Raw genomic sequence first — 20,064 nt, forward strand, 5'->3', positions numbered from 1 at the left:
TATCTAACATACTATATATCTTAATTACTTGTTGCCTGTCTCTCCTACTAGAATTTAAGATTTCTGCTTTGCACTAGTCTATCTCCAATATCTACCATATAATAAGTACTCAATAAATATTTGTTGAATGAATCAATACTATAAAATACTCACAACCTTATTACTCTCATGAATTAGAGATGAGGACAGAATTCACCAGGTGACATATTCAAATAATCCTCCACTGAACAGGGTCTTTTAATCATTCAGGAGACAATGGGTCCAAAAAATTTTACATGACTACATAAATGAGAGGAGAGTAGATATTTACACTTATTCAGGCCTCTGTTATTATCTTTCCACCTCTTGAATACTCTTCTAAACTGATTAAAGGATTAGGAAGCTGGCTGTCTCTCTGAGTCAAATTCTGTTCTCCAAGAGAGTTCAATTATCAGGTAGACTACCCATCCAATACACTAGCATTCAATACATTTGTTGGATCTCCTCAACCTCAATCCTTTATTCTCATGTTATACCCTGGGCCTTGCCATCACACAGAATTTCTCCATTTTTGAAATCATAAATGTCAATATTCTACTCAGTCTGCAACCTTCTACCTTTTAACTCTTTCATCCTTTAATTCCCACTGTATCTTCAAGCTTATTTAGAAATTACAGACTTTGATTTTTCCATTTTTTGCTGATACAGCACTCCCTACCTGTCTTCTCTTCTTCCCTACCCAGCCTGGCCCCATGGTCATCACTTGGACTATGTTCTCCCGAGCAACCTCAACTCCCCTTGCCATAGTGTCCCAATAGCCAAGACAAAAACTCCAATCCTGGATCAAGGCTAAAGAACTCATTCTTCACTTATACCCCTTAATAGCTGAGCAGTTTTGAAAAAAAAAAAAAAAAATCTCAAAATAATGCAGAATTTTGTTTCAAATCTAATTTACAATTTCTAATTTCAATTAAGCTCTCAACCCTGCTTATAAAACCCTTTTTAAAAACTTACATAATACCTACAGTGTGCCTAGCACTGTTCTACATCGTTACAAATATTAATTGATTGAATTCTCACACTCATGGTAACACTCTGAGGTAGATACTATTTTTTTTTTTTTTTTCACAAATAGGACTTTTTATTTGCCACTATTAAAAGTCTGAACTTCAGACAGATTCTTGGACTAGTGGTTCATATCCATCAGTTCGTTCAACTTTAGCACCTGTCTTGTCCCCAGTGGCTTTTCCAAAACTATTACCTTCACCACGAAGCTCCATAAGTTTTCCCAATTCAAACTAGGGCTTCCTCAGCATTTTTACTTTTCTAACGAAGACATCACAGAGAGGATAAATAGATTGGCAAGCCTTTTCTATGTCTTTTCCAATACTGTCTGGAATCAACTTATTGACCACCTCTTTCCAGTCATTTGTCTGTACCTCTCAGGTCATGATTTCCATCATCTTCTTCCAGATTTGGAGGACCTGTTGGTGCTGAGCATAAGAGGTCTTCCGTACCTGATTGTTGCATTTTTTAGTAAAACCAACACAGAACAGATGAAGCAATCATTGTCTGCCATTTTTTGATCATGGAACACATTTTGTCATGGGTAAGATCCATGCCATGGAAGTTAGGCAGTTTTTGCCCTAAACATCTTCAGTAATCAGCTTGAATTTTCTAAATGCAACTTCATCATTCTGCAAATCAGTAAGACTCACTTCAAGCACACAACCCTCAAAGCCATCAGATGCAATTTTGATTCCTTGGGTCCTGGTGACTAGCATCTTTCCAGTATTTCTTATATTGAACATAGCAAGTGCTTTCACATCATACCAATCCTTCTTCGAAAATGGATCGACCACTTTCTTCTTGGCTCCCTTTTTGCCGCCTTTCATAAGGCGCTTGTTCTTGCCAACCTCCATGGTGCTGCTCAGAGCCAAAAACTGAGATAGATACTATTACTGTCTCTGTTTTACAGATGAAAAAAAATTAAGGCACAGAAAAATCAAGCGACTGCACAAGGTCACACTGCCAGTAAGCAGTAGAGCTTACTAGCTCCAAATCCTGGCAGTCTAGCTCAAGCTTTTATCTCGATGTTCTTATCGATGTTATAAATGAAAATGAGGTACAGAGAGGCTCAGTAACTTGCTCAAGGATACCCATTTATTGAGTGGAAGAACTTTGGTTTGAATGCAAGGAGACAAATTGCAGAACCCATATACAAACCCACTAACCTATACCATCTCCTCAGGTCTAAAGCCATCTGAGAGAATGATGCTCAACAGGGTTTGGAGCTCCTCGATTTCCCACACTATTCTCAGCAAACTTACCTAGACCCACACCTACCTCTACCTTTCTCTCACTCTCCTAGTGTTCAATCATTTGCTCTGGACTACATTTTTTCCCATTTCTTTCCATCTCTTTCCTGTATTGTCAATCTCTCTATCTTTACTTGCTCTAATGGTCATGTTCAAGTTTCTTTCATCCCAAAAGACCTTACCTTCAAGAAAATTTTGGTAAGGCCATTCTTTATAGCTCCCTTTACATGCTCACTCCCTTCTCAATTGGGATCGTCAAAAGAGCAAAACTCATTTTCTCACCTCTTCTCTCATTGTAACTAACCTTCTGCACTAATAACTCTTCTAAAGCTTTTGTTGCTAATGTCTTTAGTGATAATACCAACTGTAAATTCTTTTTTTTAAAATTTTTTAACTTTTTCTTTTGAGATGGAGTCTTGCTCTGTTGCCCAGGCTGGAGTGCAGTGGTGCAATCTTGGCTCACTGCAACCTCCGCCTCCTGGGTTCAAGCTATTATCCTACCTCAGCTTCTCGAGAAGCTGGGATTATAGGCCCCCACAACCACTGGCCTGTAATTTTTGTATTTTTTAGTACAGATCGTGTTTCACTATGTTGGCCAGGCTTGTCTCAAACTCCTCAGGTGATCCACTCACCTCAGCCTCCCAAAGTGCTGGGATTATAGGCTAAATTCTAATGGATAATTTTTAGTCTTTATCTTACCATGTCACTATCTTGCTCTTCATTTCTTCTTCCTGACATTCTCTACACCCTCGGAATCCTTAGATCTACACTCTAATGATTCTTCTGCCATCTCTGTCTCCCTTTTTTAATTCCTCAACTCTGGTCTTTTCCCCAGGGTTTGAACTGAGAGAAGTTTAAAAAAGCTTGATTTAACATTCCCCACCACCCACCCACTCCCACCCCCACCCTGCGCCCCCCACAATATACATGCTTTATTCTTAATGATCTCCCTGCAGAAAATGCAATTTAAATGGTATTCAGCTGACAGTAATCCCATCAGTGGTCATGGCTTTGTTACTCCTTTTTGAAGAGCCACCCCTCTCGTTCCCCATTCCTTCTAACTTGTGGTCAAAATGGAAACTGGCTGACTTTATATCCACATGGTTGGTAAGCATCTGACTTTCAAAAAGACAGGTGTCATGGAAGCCTGACCAAAAACCCTGCTAGTTAGATGGAAAAGAAAGACAAGAGGGCAAGCTGTGTCTCTATTTTAGTCATAGATATGTTCATATATTCTCAATCAAAATTAAGGAAATATGGTCTGCTAAAGAAGTTTTGTTCTATTTTAGAATGTTAGAAATGGTGCAGGAGATGTCATGTGGATGCTGAAACACTGAAATTTCAAAGACACTTTAAAGATTTATGGTTATAAAGTATAACTGGTTCTGGATTTTACAAGATGTCTGGCCACTGTAGTCACAGACTGCAAGAGAATGTTTGTGTCCTCCCAAAATTCATATTTTGGAACCTAATTCCCAATGTAATGGCATTAGGAGGTGCGGCTTTTGGGAGGTGATCAGTGCCCTCATAAAAGAGATCTCAGAGAATGAACTAGGAAGGAAGCCCTCACCAGACGTGGATGTGTCAGCACCTTGATCTTGGACTTCCCAGCCTCCAGAACTGTGACAAATAAATGTCTGTTGTTTATGATACCCAGTCTATGGTATATTGTTATAGCAGCTTGAATACAGTTAGACATAGATTTACCAGAAAGATGCCACAATCAAACCCGTCCTCTTGGCCAGGCAGAGTGGTTCACACCTGTAATCTCAACACTTTGGGAGGCTGAGGCAGGAACACCATTTGAGCCCAGGAGTTCGAGATCAGACTGGACAGCATAGTGAGACCTTGTGTTTAATAAAAAACAAAAAAATCAGCCAAATGTGGTGGTTTGTGCCTGTAGCCCCAGCTACGCAGGAAGCTGAGTATCACAAGGAGGATCGCTTGAGTCCAGGACATCAAGGCTGCAGTGAGCTATGACTGCACCACTGCACTCCAGCCTGGGCAACAGAGTGATACTCTATCTCAAAAAATAAAAATAAAAAAAAAATAAAATAAAATAAATCCCATTCTCTCTAACAGATATGATATAGCACAATTAAAGGTTTTATTAAACATGTAATGACAATTTGGTAAGCAAGCATTGCAATAAAGCTTTCCTGACCAACTACTATAATATCACTGGCCACTTTAAAAGAAGAAAATATAAATTCTTTGCACAACCTTGGCTATATAGATATAAAATCTGCTTGAATCACATTTCTCTGCATTTATCAAGGTGCAAAGAAAAATGAAGTTGCATTAGCTTACAAATGGCCTGTCTACATCGTGTAACGGTGCAGTGAGACCTAGGGCTGTTCTCTCCATCTATGCAGGGCATACCAAGATCTACAGAGCAAAAGTGCTAGGCATGGTTTGACAGGTTGCTTAAATGGGACTTAAGGTGGGTAAATGAGAAAAAAAAAAAGGCAATGTCAATACAATAAATGAGCTTTTTATTTCCTTTATAAGTTGAAGAAAGCATACTCTTGATTATAAAAGCAAAAACCACATCAGTTGTTGTATAGATAATATGGCACACTTATTGAACTAGACAGTCCTTTGAGACAAAACCATACTCAAAATAAAATCTTTTCATCTCAATCTTGAGTATGTCTACACTTTTCTATATACAGATGTAACAAACCTCAGTATAATATAAAGAGGTGGCAAATCCTAGTATAATTAGTGGTACCTGTGAAAAATACAATTAGGGCCAGAGTGACAATAAAAGTCAGTTAAGCGACAAGTTTGAAATTCATACCCTCTCAGAAAATTGTTGAAATAAAATTGGTATGACCTTCCAATCATTTATAAACATGTGGATACTTTGGGCAATAATAAGATCACTTATTAACTGCAACAAACATTACACAACTTTTGTAATTAAATAAATAAAAATGCACACAAAAATGTATGGTTTAAGTTCAACAATCTCCTTGATGACAATGCTATGCACTGTCTCATGTGTTGTCTCACTGATTTTTTTTCACTGAATTCATTCACTCATTAAATACTTATTGAGCTCCTTCTGTAACAGGAGTTATTATGCCAAAGATTTAAGAATTAAATCTTTATTATAATAACTCATTTTCTCACACACATAGTTATCACAGCCACGGCTCAACAGGCAAATCTTCCTGTCTTTCATGACTGGTGGTGGCCTCTAGAAACATACTGCCTGGTGAGGTCTGCCTGTTGAGTAGCAGCTTATGCTGCACCTGTGGTATGGTGCATACTAAACTGTTTTCTGCTGAGGTATTCACAAAAGGTCTAAATGAAAAAGAGCATGCTCTTCCATCTATCTTAAAGCAAATGTCTAAAAACAGAGACAGAATATAAAGGATGTATTTTTTTCTATAAGAGAGATACAATGTCCTATAAAATTTCAAAATGGAAGCAATCATTTCCAGCTTAAGAACAAAGTTTTTGGAACCGATATCTGAGGTTTTTTGGTTGTTGCTGTTTGTTTTAAAACACTTTATTGTGGTATAATTGACATTGCAAAAAGCTGTACATATTTCTGTTTTGTTTTTAAAGAATGATAGAGTACAGACAGATAAGGATAGGAAGAAAGGCCTTTCCAAGAAGAGGTAATGGCATTAATAAGGAAGTAAAAGGGAGTAGCTCCGAGGAAACTTGGAAATTTTGTGAACTCTAGGGCAAAGGATCTATGTAAGATAGCAATGGTCTAGAGAGGTATTTTGGATCCGGACTGTGCAAAGTTTTTTGTTTTTTGTTTTTTTTTTTTTTGAGACGTAGTCTCACTCGTGTCACCCAGGCTGGAGTGCAGTGGCGCGATCTCGGCTCACTGCAAGCTCCGCCTCCCGGGTTCACATCATTCTCCTGCCTCAGCCTCCCGAGTAGCTGGGACTGCAGGCGCCCGCCACCACGCCCGGCTAATTTGTTTGTTTTTAGTAGAGATGAGGTTTCACCGTGTTAGCCAGGATGGTCTTGATCTCCTGACCTCGTGATCTGCCCGCCTCGGCCTCCCAAAGTGCTGGGATTACAGGCGTGAGCCACAGCGCCGGCCCGGACTGTACAAAGTTTTAAACGTTCTGTGGGAAGTCTGGACTTTATGAGAAGCCCCCACAGGCTTCTCAGCAAGGGAACAACATAATTAGAGCTCTGCTTTTGGGAGATTAACAAAGTCAGACTGATTCTAGGGGGTGTGGTGGGGGGCGGGAAGAATAGTATGGCAATGGAAAGAATCCTACTAAGAGTGATAAGAGTAAAAGAGAGAAAGGTTGTTGGATAGAATTATATATTATTGAAGAAGTCATCATCAAGCAGGGAGGACCTACCAGGTGCTGTGCAGTGGCCAAGGAACTTTATATATGGTAGGATTTCAAATCTACATAAAATTCTTACAATGTGAGGAGTATTATTAACATGTTGCACATGAGACAACTGAGGTTTAGTGAAGTCAAAAAACTGCCTGGAATCACATTTAAAATGTGGTGGTAGAGCCAGGCCTGGCTGATCCAAATAGTCATGCATGGTCTACTTTCCCCCACTTCCTCTTAATGAAGAGCCAGTCAACTTATTGAGTCTGGATGTCTCATAGCTTAGTGGCATGGGAGTAGCTGGAAGGTTGCCAGCCATGGGAAAAGCCAAAGTTTGCCAGGTAGCTAGTAGCCAGTCGGTGGGCCAATCTGACTCTCTCCCCAGGACTGGCAAGAGTTCCACACAGTCTGGTCCTTTACATCTCCCTTGGGACTCCAACTTCGCACTGCACACTTACCCTCAGCCCAAGAAGCCTCTTCTCTTTTCCAGCAAATTTATGAACTGGCTGCTCAGACCATTCTCCCCATGGGAGGACAGGAATCCAAATCTGCGATTTGAGTAAACAGCTCCATTTCCCTTCACTATTATATTCTCCTGCTTCCCAAAAGGGGTCCAAAGTAACGTGGTGAATAAAGAGTAGGCTTTATTCATATAATAAAGTTGAACACTCCATGCAAAGTCTCTGTTCATGAGGAGTGTGACAAAAAGTTCATGAGAAGCCCTTTGTTTGATGTATAAAATGAATTCTGTTCAATATTGCTAATTTTAAAGCCTCATCACCATTCTAATTAATATACTAATATACTCACCTTAATACTCTATAATTAATGAATTATAGACCTCTTTAAGAACTCCTTCAAAGGACAATCTTTCAGAATCAAATTCTTCCTTGTCCCTTGCAGAAATGGCCCACAACACTATTTTCTTACTTCCCACCTTCTGACTGTACTTCTGCCACTTCTTGAAGAAAGCACTCTAGCCATAAATCCCAACTAGACCCTAGATAGTGGTCCCTTGGTCAGCCATCAACTTTAGCTCTCACCACCTCTCCTCTACCTGCAGGGCTCTGTGCAGGTTGCCCTTTTAGCTATAGACTGTGTATAAACAGAACTTCCTACATGCACCTTGGGACTCATGTGTTAAAAGCCCTTATTTTATACAAGGTAATCCTAGTGGTAGTAGCCAAATAGAGACATGGAGATAAATTTACAAGACAGCTTTGCTTCTTCCTCATAATTCATTGAGCGAAACAAGACTGTAAGAATAGCAACAACAAAGGATGATTTATAATTTCTACTCTACATGTCACCATGGCAAGATATATAAGTGACTTTCATAGAACAGATTTAAAAGTTACAAGGCAGTTATCAGCAAATTAACATGTGTACTTTGCTTCAGAATTTATCATCATTGTAGTTAGTGCACAGGGTTTGGAATCAGGCTAGCTGGGTTTACATTTTGGTTCTGACACTTGCTAGCTATGTAACCTTAGGTTAGTTATTTAACCTCCCAACATCGTCATCTATAAAATAGGGCTAATAGCACCTACCTTATTGAGTTATGAGGATTAAATGAGTTAATGAATGTCAAATACTTAAAACCATGCTTGGCACATAGTAAGCATCCAATGAATGTTTGCTATTATCACCACCACCTCCATTATCATCATGTTTAGTAATAACTGAAATTATCATGGTACTATCAGACCAGGGCCCAAAAATGAATTAAACATTAAACTAATTTTAGTACAAATAGGATAACAGTCACTGAAGTAAAACTTGAAAGAACACTGATATTTACTTTATATTCATCATCTTGCAAAACTGGTTAAAAAAAATGGGAAGGCACAATAAAAGTTTAATCAACGAGTAAAAATTTTTGATGGCTAAATAGAGGAACTTTGTATATTGTATTCAAGAGTAAATGAGAATGTGAAGCATTCTGAAAAACTACAAAATGCTGTATTAAAATAGGATATTATTAAAGAGAATAGATTCCACTTTAAAATGTTTTACAAGGTAAATGTTATTTTATTTTATACTTTCAACTACCTTACTGAAAAATCTACACCTATCATCTCAAGAAAATGGGATAATAAGCAACCTAACCAAGGTCATTCAGGGCTCCATCCTCAGTGAGTCACAATCAGAACATGAAGATAAGAATGTGAAGGAGAAACTGACATTCTTGCATGCTGTTTGGTGCATCCACAAAGAATGCAAAAGATGTAGAAGTGGAAGTTGTAAGAATATCCATGAATTAAAAATCAGATTGGCTTCACTCTGCTTTTTAGGAGGCAAAGGGGCAAAAAAAAAAAAAAAAAAAAAACAAAGACAAAAACAAAAAACAGTTCTTTAGTCAACCAGAAGTCGGTTCAATTAGAACTTTCTCAATTAGAAATGGAGCAGTAGCTCTAGAAAAAAAACAGAAGACTGTGTGGCAAGAAAAAAAGAAAGCTACAGATGAATTTTGGTTAATGAGTAGAAACCTAACAGAACTCAGGTGATGGGTCAGTGCAAGGACCTATAAATGACCTTGCTATGCTCAGTAAGCAGAGAAGTTCAGGAAATCTGTGAAGCCTCTGAACTGGAGAAAAAAAAGATAGAATATTGTCAAGAAATGGTAGAGAGAGAAAACTAAATGCCTGAGCAGAGTTAAATTAAGTCAAGCTGGAGTCAGCATATCATCTCTGTGCCTATAAATTATCTCTAGGCATCTAGGGTCTCACAGTGTGGCTGAGCAGCTTCTACCCTAAAGGAGTAAATTTCTCTGTTGAAATTTAGGAGAAAGATTTAGGCCTCATATTGTAATCTTCAGAAGAGAAACTCTTGAACTCTTGAATGGTGGTATTAGAATAGAGTCAAGAAAAGAACTAGAGTAAGTGTTCTCTGTGAGGAGGCTAGAGGCTAGGTTAGTTACAACAGTGACAGACTGAATCCAAAGCATTATCTTTGGGCACAAAGATCAGCATGTTTGGCAGCAGTAAGCTGTAAAAAAGAAAGAAGGCAAGAAAAGGAAAGAAAGTTGTTTGACTGCTATTATCTCATGTACTCTTATGTAGCTTAAGATCAATAGAATACTGTATTGTAGTTATAAAATATATACACATCAAAGTAAATACTCTCAAACCACTCATTTACGGTGCAGCTCCTTAAAAATAATCCATCCATCATATGTGGTCCTGATCAACAAACTTACTTAGATATTTATGGAAGCTGCAGTATTTTTCAAACTACATCTTAAGAAATCCAAAATTGTGTGGCACTGTCTCAGGAGCCCCTGGGTTGTGGAGTGGGGCGGGTAATGGGGGAGAGGGAAATCAAACAAGCAGGGCTAAAAATACTCCTCTGCTTCTTAAATCAGAAAAGCTTTGCTTTTATCTGTTTTATATAACAGGGATTCATGTAAGATTTCATTTGATAAAAGACTACTGGTAAGGTGGGAAAAGCATAGGCAAGACTAGGTTTGAACTGTGTCACTGCTATTTACTTACTCTGTGACTTGGGAAAATTACCTAAACTCTCTGAATCTTAGTTTCCTCTTTTATAAAATGGGATGAATAATATTTACAAATTGTTGTATGAAGTAAATAAGATAAAGTATGTAAAACACATACCATGAGACTTTAGCACATAGCAGGCACTAGCTGTTAGTTCCTTTTCTGAAAGACATGGAATATAGAGATAGATAGATTAGATAGACAGATAGATAGATAGATAGATAGATAGATAGATAGATAGAGAGATAGAGAGAGAGAGAGAGATGGGTTTTGGGGTTTTTTTGTTTGTTGGTTTTTCAGACAGGATCTTAACTGTGTAGTGGCACAATCGCTGCTCACTGAAGCCTTCCTGGGCTCAGGTGATTCTCCTACCTCAGTCTCCTGACTAGCTGGGACTACAGGCATATGCCACTAAGCCCAGCTAATTTTTTGAATTTTTTATAGAGACAAGGTCTCACTATGTTGCCCAGGTTGGTCTGAAATTCCTAAGCTCAAGAAATACACCTGCTTCGGCCTCCCAAAGTGCTGGGATTACAGGCGTCAGCCACCGTGCTTGGCCAATAGATGTTTAAATAAATAAATAAATAAATTTGTATAAAAAATATATATTTGTCTGTGTGTGTGTGTGTGTGTACATATAGTTGTAGAAGCTTCTGCAGACAGCTCTTCTGTAACTTGCAGTCATTCGAAAGATATACTGAGCAAGAATTTGGAGGTCAGCAGCATCACTCTCTTCAGCATTTCCAGGCCATGGCTGCCGTACTATCTGCTAGCATAAATCCTCAGCATTCAGCTACAGTTCTTCCTTCCTCTATATTTTCAACAGTTACTATCAGTAGTTTTCATTAGCTCCTCAAAGCTATATTGCAAAGAATTTAAATATTATTATCATTTTAATAAACTAGGTCAGTTCACAAAAGCAACCAACCACAAAAGCACTTTAAACAAATAAGACTCACCGACTGAGATTAAAAGGAGCTTTAGAGTGGATCCACGCAACACCTTTTTTTGCCATGAGAGATGAAGTAACCTCATCAAACTGGCAGAGTAATCAACTAGCAAAATTCCCAGATGATTGTAGTAGCTCTTGAACACATACCATGCTGATTAGCTCATGTTGCATGTTGCATGAACAATACATGGCAGAGAAAAGCTAAAAGTCAGTGGGAACACTATGCCAATTTAATGTCATTAACATTCCAGAAACCTACAATAACAAATACTAATTGCAAAATATGGAATGAAATGCCTACATTAAATCTTACGATCCTAATTCCACCATTGTGTGACATTGGGCAAGTTACTTAACCAAAGACTATTTCTTCACGTTTGAAATAAGGTGGCAATACCTGCCTCAAGGCCTTGTTATGAACAATATCTCTTCGTGGTATTCTTGCCAAAAATCCATAACCTCAGTCTAAACACAAAGAAAAATCAGACAAACCTAAACTGAGAGACATTCTACAAAATAACTGACTGGTTCTCTTCAAAAGTGCCAAGGTCATGAAGGAGAAAATGTATGCATTAGAAGAGACATGAAAGCTAAATGCATTGTGGGACCCTGGATTTGATCTTGGACTAAGGAAAGGGACAGTGAAAAAACTAGTGAAATTTGAACTAAGTCTGTAGCTAAATTACTATTATTGTACCAATATTAATTTCTTGATTTTGATAACTGTATTATGATTATTCAAGACAAAGCTTGGTGAAGGGTATACAGAAATTCTCTGTACTAATTTTGCAACTCTGTAAATCTAAAATTATTTTAAAATTAAAAAAATTTAAATCTTGTGAGAATTAAATACAGGGTCAAAAATTTTAAACCACGCTTTTTTTCTTTTTAGGCGTAATTCTTCATCTAATGGCTATACTTAGCGATAGTTAACAGCAAGAACATTATGTGAATACTGGCCAAACCCAGACTAGGAACCGCTAATAATGAAACATGTTCAACTGCAATAAAATGTGGACACTTTATCATACTTCAACTGAATAACAAATACTTTTGCAAAAATCTACTAACCATCAATATTTCACTCTTTGCACAATACAATCATGACTTAGTGCTTAAAGAAGTATGGATTCTGTGTTTGGCCAATGATGACAGGCTTAAATTTACCTAATACCATCAACATTTAAACAGAACATGTCAGATCTTAACTCCTCTGACTTTATGACTACGCTCATCTTGTCAGATTTCAACAGTTTTCTGTCAGGCAACACCTGGCAAAATAAACCGTTTTCATATAAATTGTAGACATCCCATAATGAGTATGGAGTGATGTGCTGTTATTCCTGTTTCTCCCTGTTTTATTTTCAACTTGAGTTTACATCTGCATCCTCTGAGATAAGCAAAGATGCCCTATGCCAACATTTTTACCCAAGATTTTGTTTTAAAAAAAGAAAACACTAAAAACCATTAAAACAACTTAGGAATCACAACACTTTATTAGTTAGAGTTTCTAACATAGCACTGTTATGGCTCATTCACTTTTGCTTTACACCTAAGGGAGTAAGTGCACAGCCAAGGCTAATAAAAACTAACTTGGCTATTTCTTGGTTTTTGATGGAACCATTCATATGATAAATATACATTTTTTCCCATTATACTATACTCTTGCAAAATAATTTTTTTCTACAAAGGTTATGAGATATCATAAAAATGTCTAATGCATCTGGTTTAAGAATCCAATGCCTCTTTCACATATTTCTGCATCTGTTCACAAAATCCCTTTGACTTCAAAGGAAGCTTTTCAAGAGAAAAAGAAGATACATACAGGAAAAGTGGCCATAAATTTTTAGTAGTCCTTTTCTAAGGCCATTTTAATAACAGCATTGTGGGACAAGTATCTTCCTCAGAATCCTAAAATATCACAAATGATATTAATGACTAAAGATCTGTATAAAGATTTATGATTTCAAAACGTTTTTCTGGTTATTAAAAAGTGTGTGTCTTCAATTTAGACATGTGAAAAATATGTAATGCTATAAAAGGAAACAAATAACTTTTAACCCACTATTTAGGAAGGCCAAAGCAAAATAAAAAAGTTAAAAATGTTTGTTCCCTTCCAGGCTTTTTTTCTATGTATACGTTTATATAAACACTTATATATAAACATAACATCGTAATAACACTATGAACACAATTTTGTATCTTTTCTCAGTCTTTCAAAAAACCACATTAATCTTTCAAACCATCATTTTCAATGACTGAAATTATATGTAGATTTATACTTTAAAAAAATACTCTCACATTTAATACTTATTCTACTCAAAGCTAAATTAAAGGTTTAGAAACATTCATCGGTACTGGAAATTCTACATCTTGAAACAATCTAGATTAATAATTAACTTTAATAGCCCTATTCATAAATGCCACTGAAACAATAGTAGAGGTTTAAGAAATTTTTTCTTTAGCATTTATAATGACTTAGTGTCTTAAACTTCCCTGGGCAGTCATTAGCAGGCTGCAGTTTGTCTTTTTTTTCTCTCTCTCTTTGATTCTCTATTCTCAAGACATCTTCAATTCTTTAGTTTGGAATAAGGGGAAGTTTGGGTCTACGGCTTAGCTACTTTGATAGCATAGGTGTTAATGTGCTATAAATTATAAATAATCATCTCATTCTAGTTCTGCAGAATCAAACCCTCAAATTTCAAGGAGAGGAATTTTTGATAAATTTATCTAATTTTGAATTGTCTTACCTAACATTGCTGCTGAAATTTAAGGTGACATTTGAATAGTTGTTTGCTGACAAGCAGCTTTCCGGTATATATTAATATATTAGCTTATAAGAATTTTGTGAGGCTCACATTAATAAAAAACGGAAGTTCAAAAAATTTATGACATGACTAGAAAAATAAGTTGAACTTAAATTTTGGTTTTCATAATTACTCTCATTGGCTTTGTTTTGGCTTCATAATCATGGAACTATAGATTTTCCAGAGGTTGAAAGAACATTAACGTGTCAATCAGTCCAGCTCTCTTCCTCCACTCAATATGAGCAAAAAAAGAAGAAAAGTCCCAGAGAGATTGTGACTTGTCACACAGCTGTCAAGTGGCAGACCAAACCCTTGACCTCTAGGCTACCTTCCTGTCTAGCGCTGTTTTCAACACAACAGTTACAATAGGTGCGACATCCTCACACCTACTCATTATGGCAATACATATGCAAATGATGCCGGGAAATTACCTAATAAAATCACATTCTCTCCTTTCTCTCTAGTTCCCAGAATATATCTCCCGTAGATAAAGTATGTCAAAGTGCTTGCCACTGAGACTGTACTTGGAAGACGTTTGGTAAAATCCTGAATAACTGAAAGGGTATCCCCTCCCCCTGACTTTTTTGCTATGAGGGTAAAATTCCAAATATTTAAGACAATTCCCAATAAGACCAGGCCGCGACATGGTCTCCGTACGACGAGATTAATGGTAACAGCAGTGTTGTCAAGCGCAGGACAGGACAAACTCTGTAGCAGCTTGCGGTCACTCTTTCACAGCCTGCTAGATAGAGCAGTGCTGTGGAGCCACCAGGAGCAACCAGAATGGAAGATGCACTGACACTTGCTCAAGTACCACACTGCCAACCTGCTGCCCCGACCCAAGCTGCCCAATGCCTAACAAAACTTCTCTACTCTCTCCGATAGCCCCTTAGCGTGTTGTTAGGGTAAGGAGGGTAAAAACAGTAATAAGACCACAAGAAGAGCAGTCTCTAAAACAACCCGTCTCTGAAAACATCACACGCGGGGTAGGCTCACCGCGTTGCCCGGCAACAGCGGCGGCGCTCCGCTCCCAGAACTGGAGGTGGCGGCAAGAGGTCAGAAAGCGGCGCGCTTTTTCCACCAAGAAACCTTTACGTCATCACGTATCCTTGCAACGTCACTACGCTCTGAGCAGGCCGACAGTCATAGACGAGTAGACCTTAGGCGAGGGAAGGCATGTACTTTCCCTAAGAAGCGGGAGGAGAGAAATAAATAGAGGGCAGTGGGATGAGAAGAACCTCGCGGGATGGGAAGCCGCGGAGGGAAGGGCCGTCTTTGGTTACCTGGAGAGCGGGAGCAGCTGCGGATCCCTTATGAAGTGCCCGGATGAAGCTCCAGCGCTCACGCGCTTTCCGCATTGAGTGCAGCGCCATCTTGAGAAGGGCGGAGCCGTCTTGTTTGGAATGACGTCTGTTCAGAGAGCCAATCCCAGTCTCGCGACTCCTGCTTGCTGGGCGCGGCTTGGGCCTCCAGGCTGCGCAGCGCAGCCGCTATCGGGCGGACTGCAGTTCTTGCCGAGCAGGTGGGGACAGGAGCGGGGTGGGGCTTTAGTGTTTTTCCCTGGATCCCTTGTCTGCTCAGCCTTCCTGGAAGGAGAATTTCCTTGGGGGTTATTAGTAGCAACGCTTTAGACTGGAAGAAAGTCAAGTAGGCTGCATTTCTGATCTTAGCTATGTGAAGGCAACCTTTAAAAAGTTTGTTTAGAAACTCCCAGTTCTCTTAGAGGGTAATATAAGTGGTCTTTTTAGACATGTGTGGCCTCATTTCCCTTTTTTTTCTTTGAGACAAGGTCTCACTCTCGCCCAGGCTGGAGTGCAATGGCGCGATCTCGGCTCACTGCAACCTCCACCTCCCAGACTCAAGCTATTCTCCTGCCTCAGCCTCCTGAGTAGCTGGGACCACAAGGGTGCGCCACCACGCCCGGCTAATTTTTGTATTTTGGTGGAGACAGGGTTTCACCATGTTGCCCAGGCTCTCTCAAACTCCTGAGCTCAAGCCAAGCCATCTGCCTCGGCCTCCTAAAGTGCTGGGATTACAGGCATGTGCCACCGCACTGGACTTATGTGGCCTTATTTCATTCGTCCTGTAAACTTTGTTGAACCCTACCGTAATGTGCTGGGCACTGAAGGTACAGAGAAAGACATATCTTGTCTTCAAGTTGTGTACAGTCTAATAGAGTAGCGGATAAATAAATGATGTACACTTAATAGGTGTTAAAGAAGCAAGCACCGCAAGTTTTAAGGAGGAGTGGTTATGACTGTGGTGTTTCAACCTAGTCTAGGGAAGGCTGCAGGAAGGTTATACCTGATGGAAGAAATTGTTTTGTTTGGGGTTATGAGAAAGTTTAATACAGTTTTTCTGCTTCTGTTAATTCACCTAAAAATCTCCCAGACAGATAACGAGTGTTTCAGTAAAAATATAACTGGAAGAAATTCATGACAATTCCTTTATGTGTTTTGTTTATAATTCATCCAGCTACTGAAAATTACCAAGGAGAGGTAGGAGATAAGAGATGCCTATAAAGGAGCTGAAATCTACCAGGGTAAGACAAAACAGTAAATTAAAACCATATAGGATAATCTTGTAGGTATACAAAGTACTGGTGAAGTTCAAGTATAATTGGTGTAATTTAGAAGTGAGCAGGAAAGGGATGAAGGCAAAAAAAAAACTAGGAAATCAAGTTATAGTCTTCAACAAAGCTGATCAGTTTGGTTTTGGCTGTTAAATTTGAGGTGCTTGTAGTACTTCCAAAATGTGATGCCCATTAAATAGATACATGGGTCTGGAGCTCAGAAGAGATTTGAACTACCAAACAGATGGTAATTGAAACCAAGGAAATCCTTGAGACCATCAGATAGAGTTTGTGGAGTGAAAGTAGCCAGATGATGGAAATAAAGGAGCCAAGAGGTGTTGTAGAACCCAAAGAATGTGATATTACTGAGACCCTGGAAACAAACCTTGCCAGGGGAAGGGGGATATATGTTATGCCTTGTAAAATGCAGTTTAATAAATGCCCTACATGTTTTACTCATACATAGAGCAAAGCATTATAGTACAGTGTTTTACATATATTTTATTAATGAGATTACATGACCCTAGCAATTAGCAAGATTAGCTTTCTGACATCTTTAGTCATCTAGATAGCAAGATAAAACCTAGCAATAAGACTATGGTGCACCAAAAGCTGTCAAAGGGTGTACCTACTTTATTTCTTCAAGAAGTAGTTCTTAGTCGTATCTGCAGACTCCTATGACCAATAATATTTCCGTGGGAGGTATTTCCAAGACATAGTCCCACTAAAAAAGGTGGGACTTTAAGACCACAAGTTTTATAACTTTAGTATCCTGATTTTTAAAATTGAAAATATTTGCTAATTTTTAGACTTTGTTAGAAGTAATAAACTGTGTTTTGCACCGTGGCGGTGACCTGGTAACTCTCAGGTGTCACTCAGCCAGCCTTGCTTCTTGGACAAGGACTATAGTTTATATTTCTAACATCTCCCCCAGCACCTAGAATAGTCTCTTATGCAGAGTAGGCACCTCTTTTAAAAGTAAATTGGATTTTAACAAATTACACAGCTTATTGTCAGCAATTGTTATGCTTTTAACAGCCAGAAGGAACAGTTAACAGAAAAGACACAGGATGTATTAAAAATGAACCAGTTCTGTCTACTTTTGTACTTTTTCACAGTAAGCATTTTGGTGTTGGGGAAAGTATGACTACAAAGCTCACCATCTTCTAAGAGGAGGAATATATTCAGCTCAGTATATTTAACGTATTTTAATAAGTTTTTAATAATGGTAACCATGACTCCTCGGGGAAAGATATATTATTCAATGTATCTTTGAAGAAAAAACCTACAATACACTTTTGAAATGTTTTCATACAAAATGGTTAACATTTAAAAGTGTGTATATATCATGGGCTGGGCATAATGGCTCACACCTGTAATCCCAGCACTTTGGGAGGCTGGGGCGGGCAGATCTCTTGAGGTCAGGAGTTCGAGACTAGCCTGGCCAACATGGTGAAACCCCATGTCTACGAAAAATACAAAAATTACCCAGGCATGGTGGTGTGCGCCTGTAGTCCCAGCTACTCAGGAGGCTGAGACACGAGAGTTGCTTAAACCAGGGAGACAGAGGTTGCAGGGAGCCGAGATCAAGCCACTGCATTCCACACTGGGCAACAGAGCAAGACTGTCTCAAAAAAAAGAAAGAAAGAAAAGAAAAGTGTGTATTATGCAGTTGGTTATATGGAAAATTCTCCTATGGAATAATTCATTCTCCAACAGTGGTGTTTAAATGAAGCACCACTGTATTTAATGACGGTATTTTACCACTGCTATCATTTGAGTAAGCTAAAGAACTTTGGTAAAGTAAGATATAAATGTTGTATGGAAAGCAGACTTTAAACATACCTAAGATTAAAAAGTTTTATAGTCCTATCCTTATAACGTGAACTATATGTCTACATATGTTCATGCTTACAATTTTGAACACTTGTTTAAATTTTGATTTCTCATCAACACTTTTACTTTATAGTAAGTTCTGGTAATTTTGTTCTCTCCTTAACATTCCCTGCAAATCCTCTCCTGCTAGAAACAACAGATTAAAACCAGACTGGCAGTTGGGAAATGGTTTCTATTGCAACCATGTGTGTCAGAAGAAAGGATTAGGTTTCCTTGTCCAAGAACATCAAGGGGAACCTCCACCTCTGCAGACACACCTCTATTCCTTAGTAATGGAGAGTTTATACCTAGTTAGATTTAAATGGGATAAGGGAAGAGTTTAAATCCATTCTTAGCTCAAGCAGTATAATCAGCCCTCAAGTCTCAAAGTATCCAATTTTCTTTCTCTAATTTAATTCTAAGTGTCAGGTTGGTATTAGATGCTGATCAAGGTAATGGAGAGTTGCCCTACACATTTATTCACTTAAAGAAGAATTTTGCAGACTGCAAAGACTAGATGGCAATTGTATTCAAAACTTACTTAAAGCACAATTCATTCACCCCTGACCTTTCATTTATATTGAGTATGTTTTTTCAAATATAGAAGAGATTCCATAATAAAAGCAAACAAACCTCTCTCTTCATAATTATGGACTATAGTTCTCTGTACATGTTCTCTGACCATGCCATCTTATGCTGGACCTATTATAAGGACCCAAATTAAAGTGAGGCAGATCCTGCTTTTGAGTGAGATAACCTCCAAGAGTCATAAAAGTATATGGGAAACTGTAATAATGATTATTCTTTTTTTACCTTTGGCTTAACTTTAGTTCTTCCTCTTATTTTATAACTAATGAAACTTGTCCACAGATATTAAGTACCTTGACCAAAATCACACAAGTAAAAGCAACAATGAGAAGAACCTTCGGCTGGGCGCAGTGGCTCACACCTGTAATCCCAGCACTTTGGAAAGCCGAGGTGGGCGGATCACCTGAGGTCGGGAGTTTGAGACCAGCCTGGCCAACATGGTGAAACCCCATCTACTAAAAATACAAAAATGAGCCAGGCATGGTGCTAGGCACCTGTAATCCCAGCTACTCGGGAGGCTGAGGCAGGAGAATCGCTCGAAACTGGAAGGCGGCAGTTGCAGTGAGCCAGGATTGTGCCACTGCACTCCAGCCTGGGCAACAAGGGCGAAACTCATCTCAAAAAAAAAAAAAAAAAGAAATCCATCTCCAGATGAATGTTCTACTTTGACACCACAGTAAAGCTGAAGAGGCTAAAGCTAGGGCGGGTCCAAATGGGGAAGGTTCCACATAAAGCCACATCCTTGTGTCAGGTTTCAAAGTCAGAACAAGCAAATGTCTTATTTTTAAAGGCTGATACTCTCATCTCCACCCCTAATGTAAAAAGATGTTGTCTTTCCCTAGTAGTTTTTGGGAGAGAGCAAATTATAGCATCTTACTGTAAGGACAATAATCAGAAGCTCATCTTACCTTTGGGAAGGCTTAAAGGGTTTTATAGGGAGTCATCATTGTCACTTTATTTCTGGAAGAAAGGGCAAAATCCAAGAAGAGACTAAGTGATGTGAATAGCAAAATGGGATTTTTCTCAGAGCACTTTTTTCTTAAGATTAAGGGTCAAGGCCACACTTTTTATATTGCCAGGTTCAACTTCTTGCCTTAAGGACAATTTTCCACCCCACAACAGTGAAGATATTTTGATGAGAGTTGAGA

General features: G+C 38.6%; 1 protein-coding gene, 1 long non-coding RNA gene and 1 pseudogene across 16 annotated transcripts in view, besides 1 other annotated feature; 1 reads left to right on the plus strand and 2 right to left on the minus strand.

Annotated features, from left to right (window-relative positions):
- Positions 1–15,282, minus strand: part of WARS2 (tryptophanyl tRNA synthetase 2, mitochondrial) — a 109,457-nt gene extending 94,175 nt beyond the window's left edge. For 5 of the 12 annotated variants that reach the window (NM_001378229.1, NM_001378228.1, NM_001378231.1 and 2 more), the window contains exon 1: positions 15,165–15,263. In NM_001378229.1, the coding sequence (NP_001365158.1) occupies positions 15,165–15,254 (90 nt within the window). In that variant the 5' untranslated portion in view covers positions 15,255–15,263. Of the gene's footprint in view, positions 1–14,877 lie in introns of all 12 variants that reach the window. The other 7 variants (XM_047429105.1, XM_017000038.2, NM_201263.2 and 4 more) reach the window with 3 other exon arrangements.
- RPS3AP12 (RPS3A pseudogene 12) lies at positions 1,105–1,921 on the minus strand (annotated as a pseudogene).
- Positions 15,006–20,064, plus strand: part of WARS2-AS1 (WARS2 antisense RNA 1) — a 135,578-nt gene continuing 130,519 nt past the window's right edge. For 2 of the 4 annotated variants that reach the window (NR_125975.1, NR_125976.1), the window contains exons 1-2: positions 15,006–15,403; positions 16,357–16,423. This is a non-coding gene — a long non-coding RNA (WARS2 antisense RNA 1). The remainder of the gene's footprint in view (positions 15,404–16,356; positions 16,424–20,064) is intronic. The other 2 variants (NR_125974.1, NR_125977.1) reach the window with 1 other exon arrangement.
- Positions 15,035–15,344: an enhancer, noted in NCBI's record as "active region_1590". NCBI's record gives its function as "activates an Ori minimal core promoter by ATAC-STARR-seq in GM12878 lymphoblastoid cells {active_cell/tissue: GM12878}" and the evidence as "EXISTENCE:reporter gene assay evidence [ECO:0000049][PMID:35858748]".

This window comes from Homo sapiens, chromosome 1, assembly GCF_000001405.40.
Source record: "Homo sapiens chromosome 1, GRCh38.p14 Primary Assembly".
In the NCBI taxonomy this organism is placed as follows: Eukaryota; Metazoa; Chordata; class Mammalia; order Primates; family Hominidae; genus Homo; species Homo sapiens.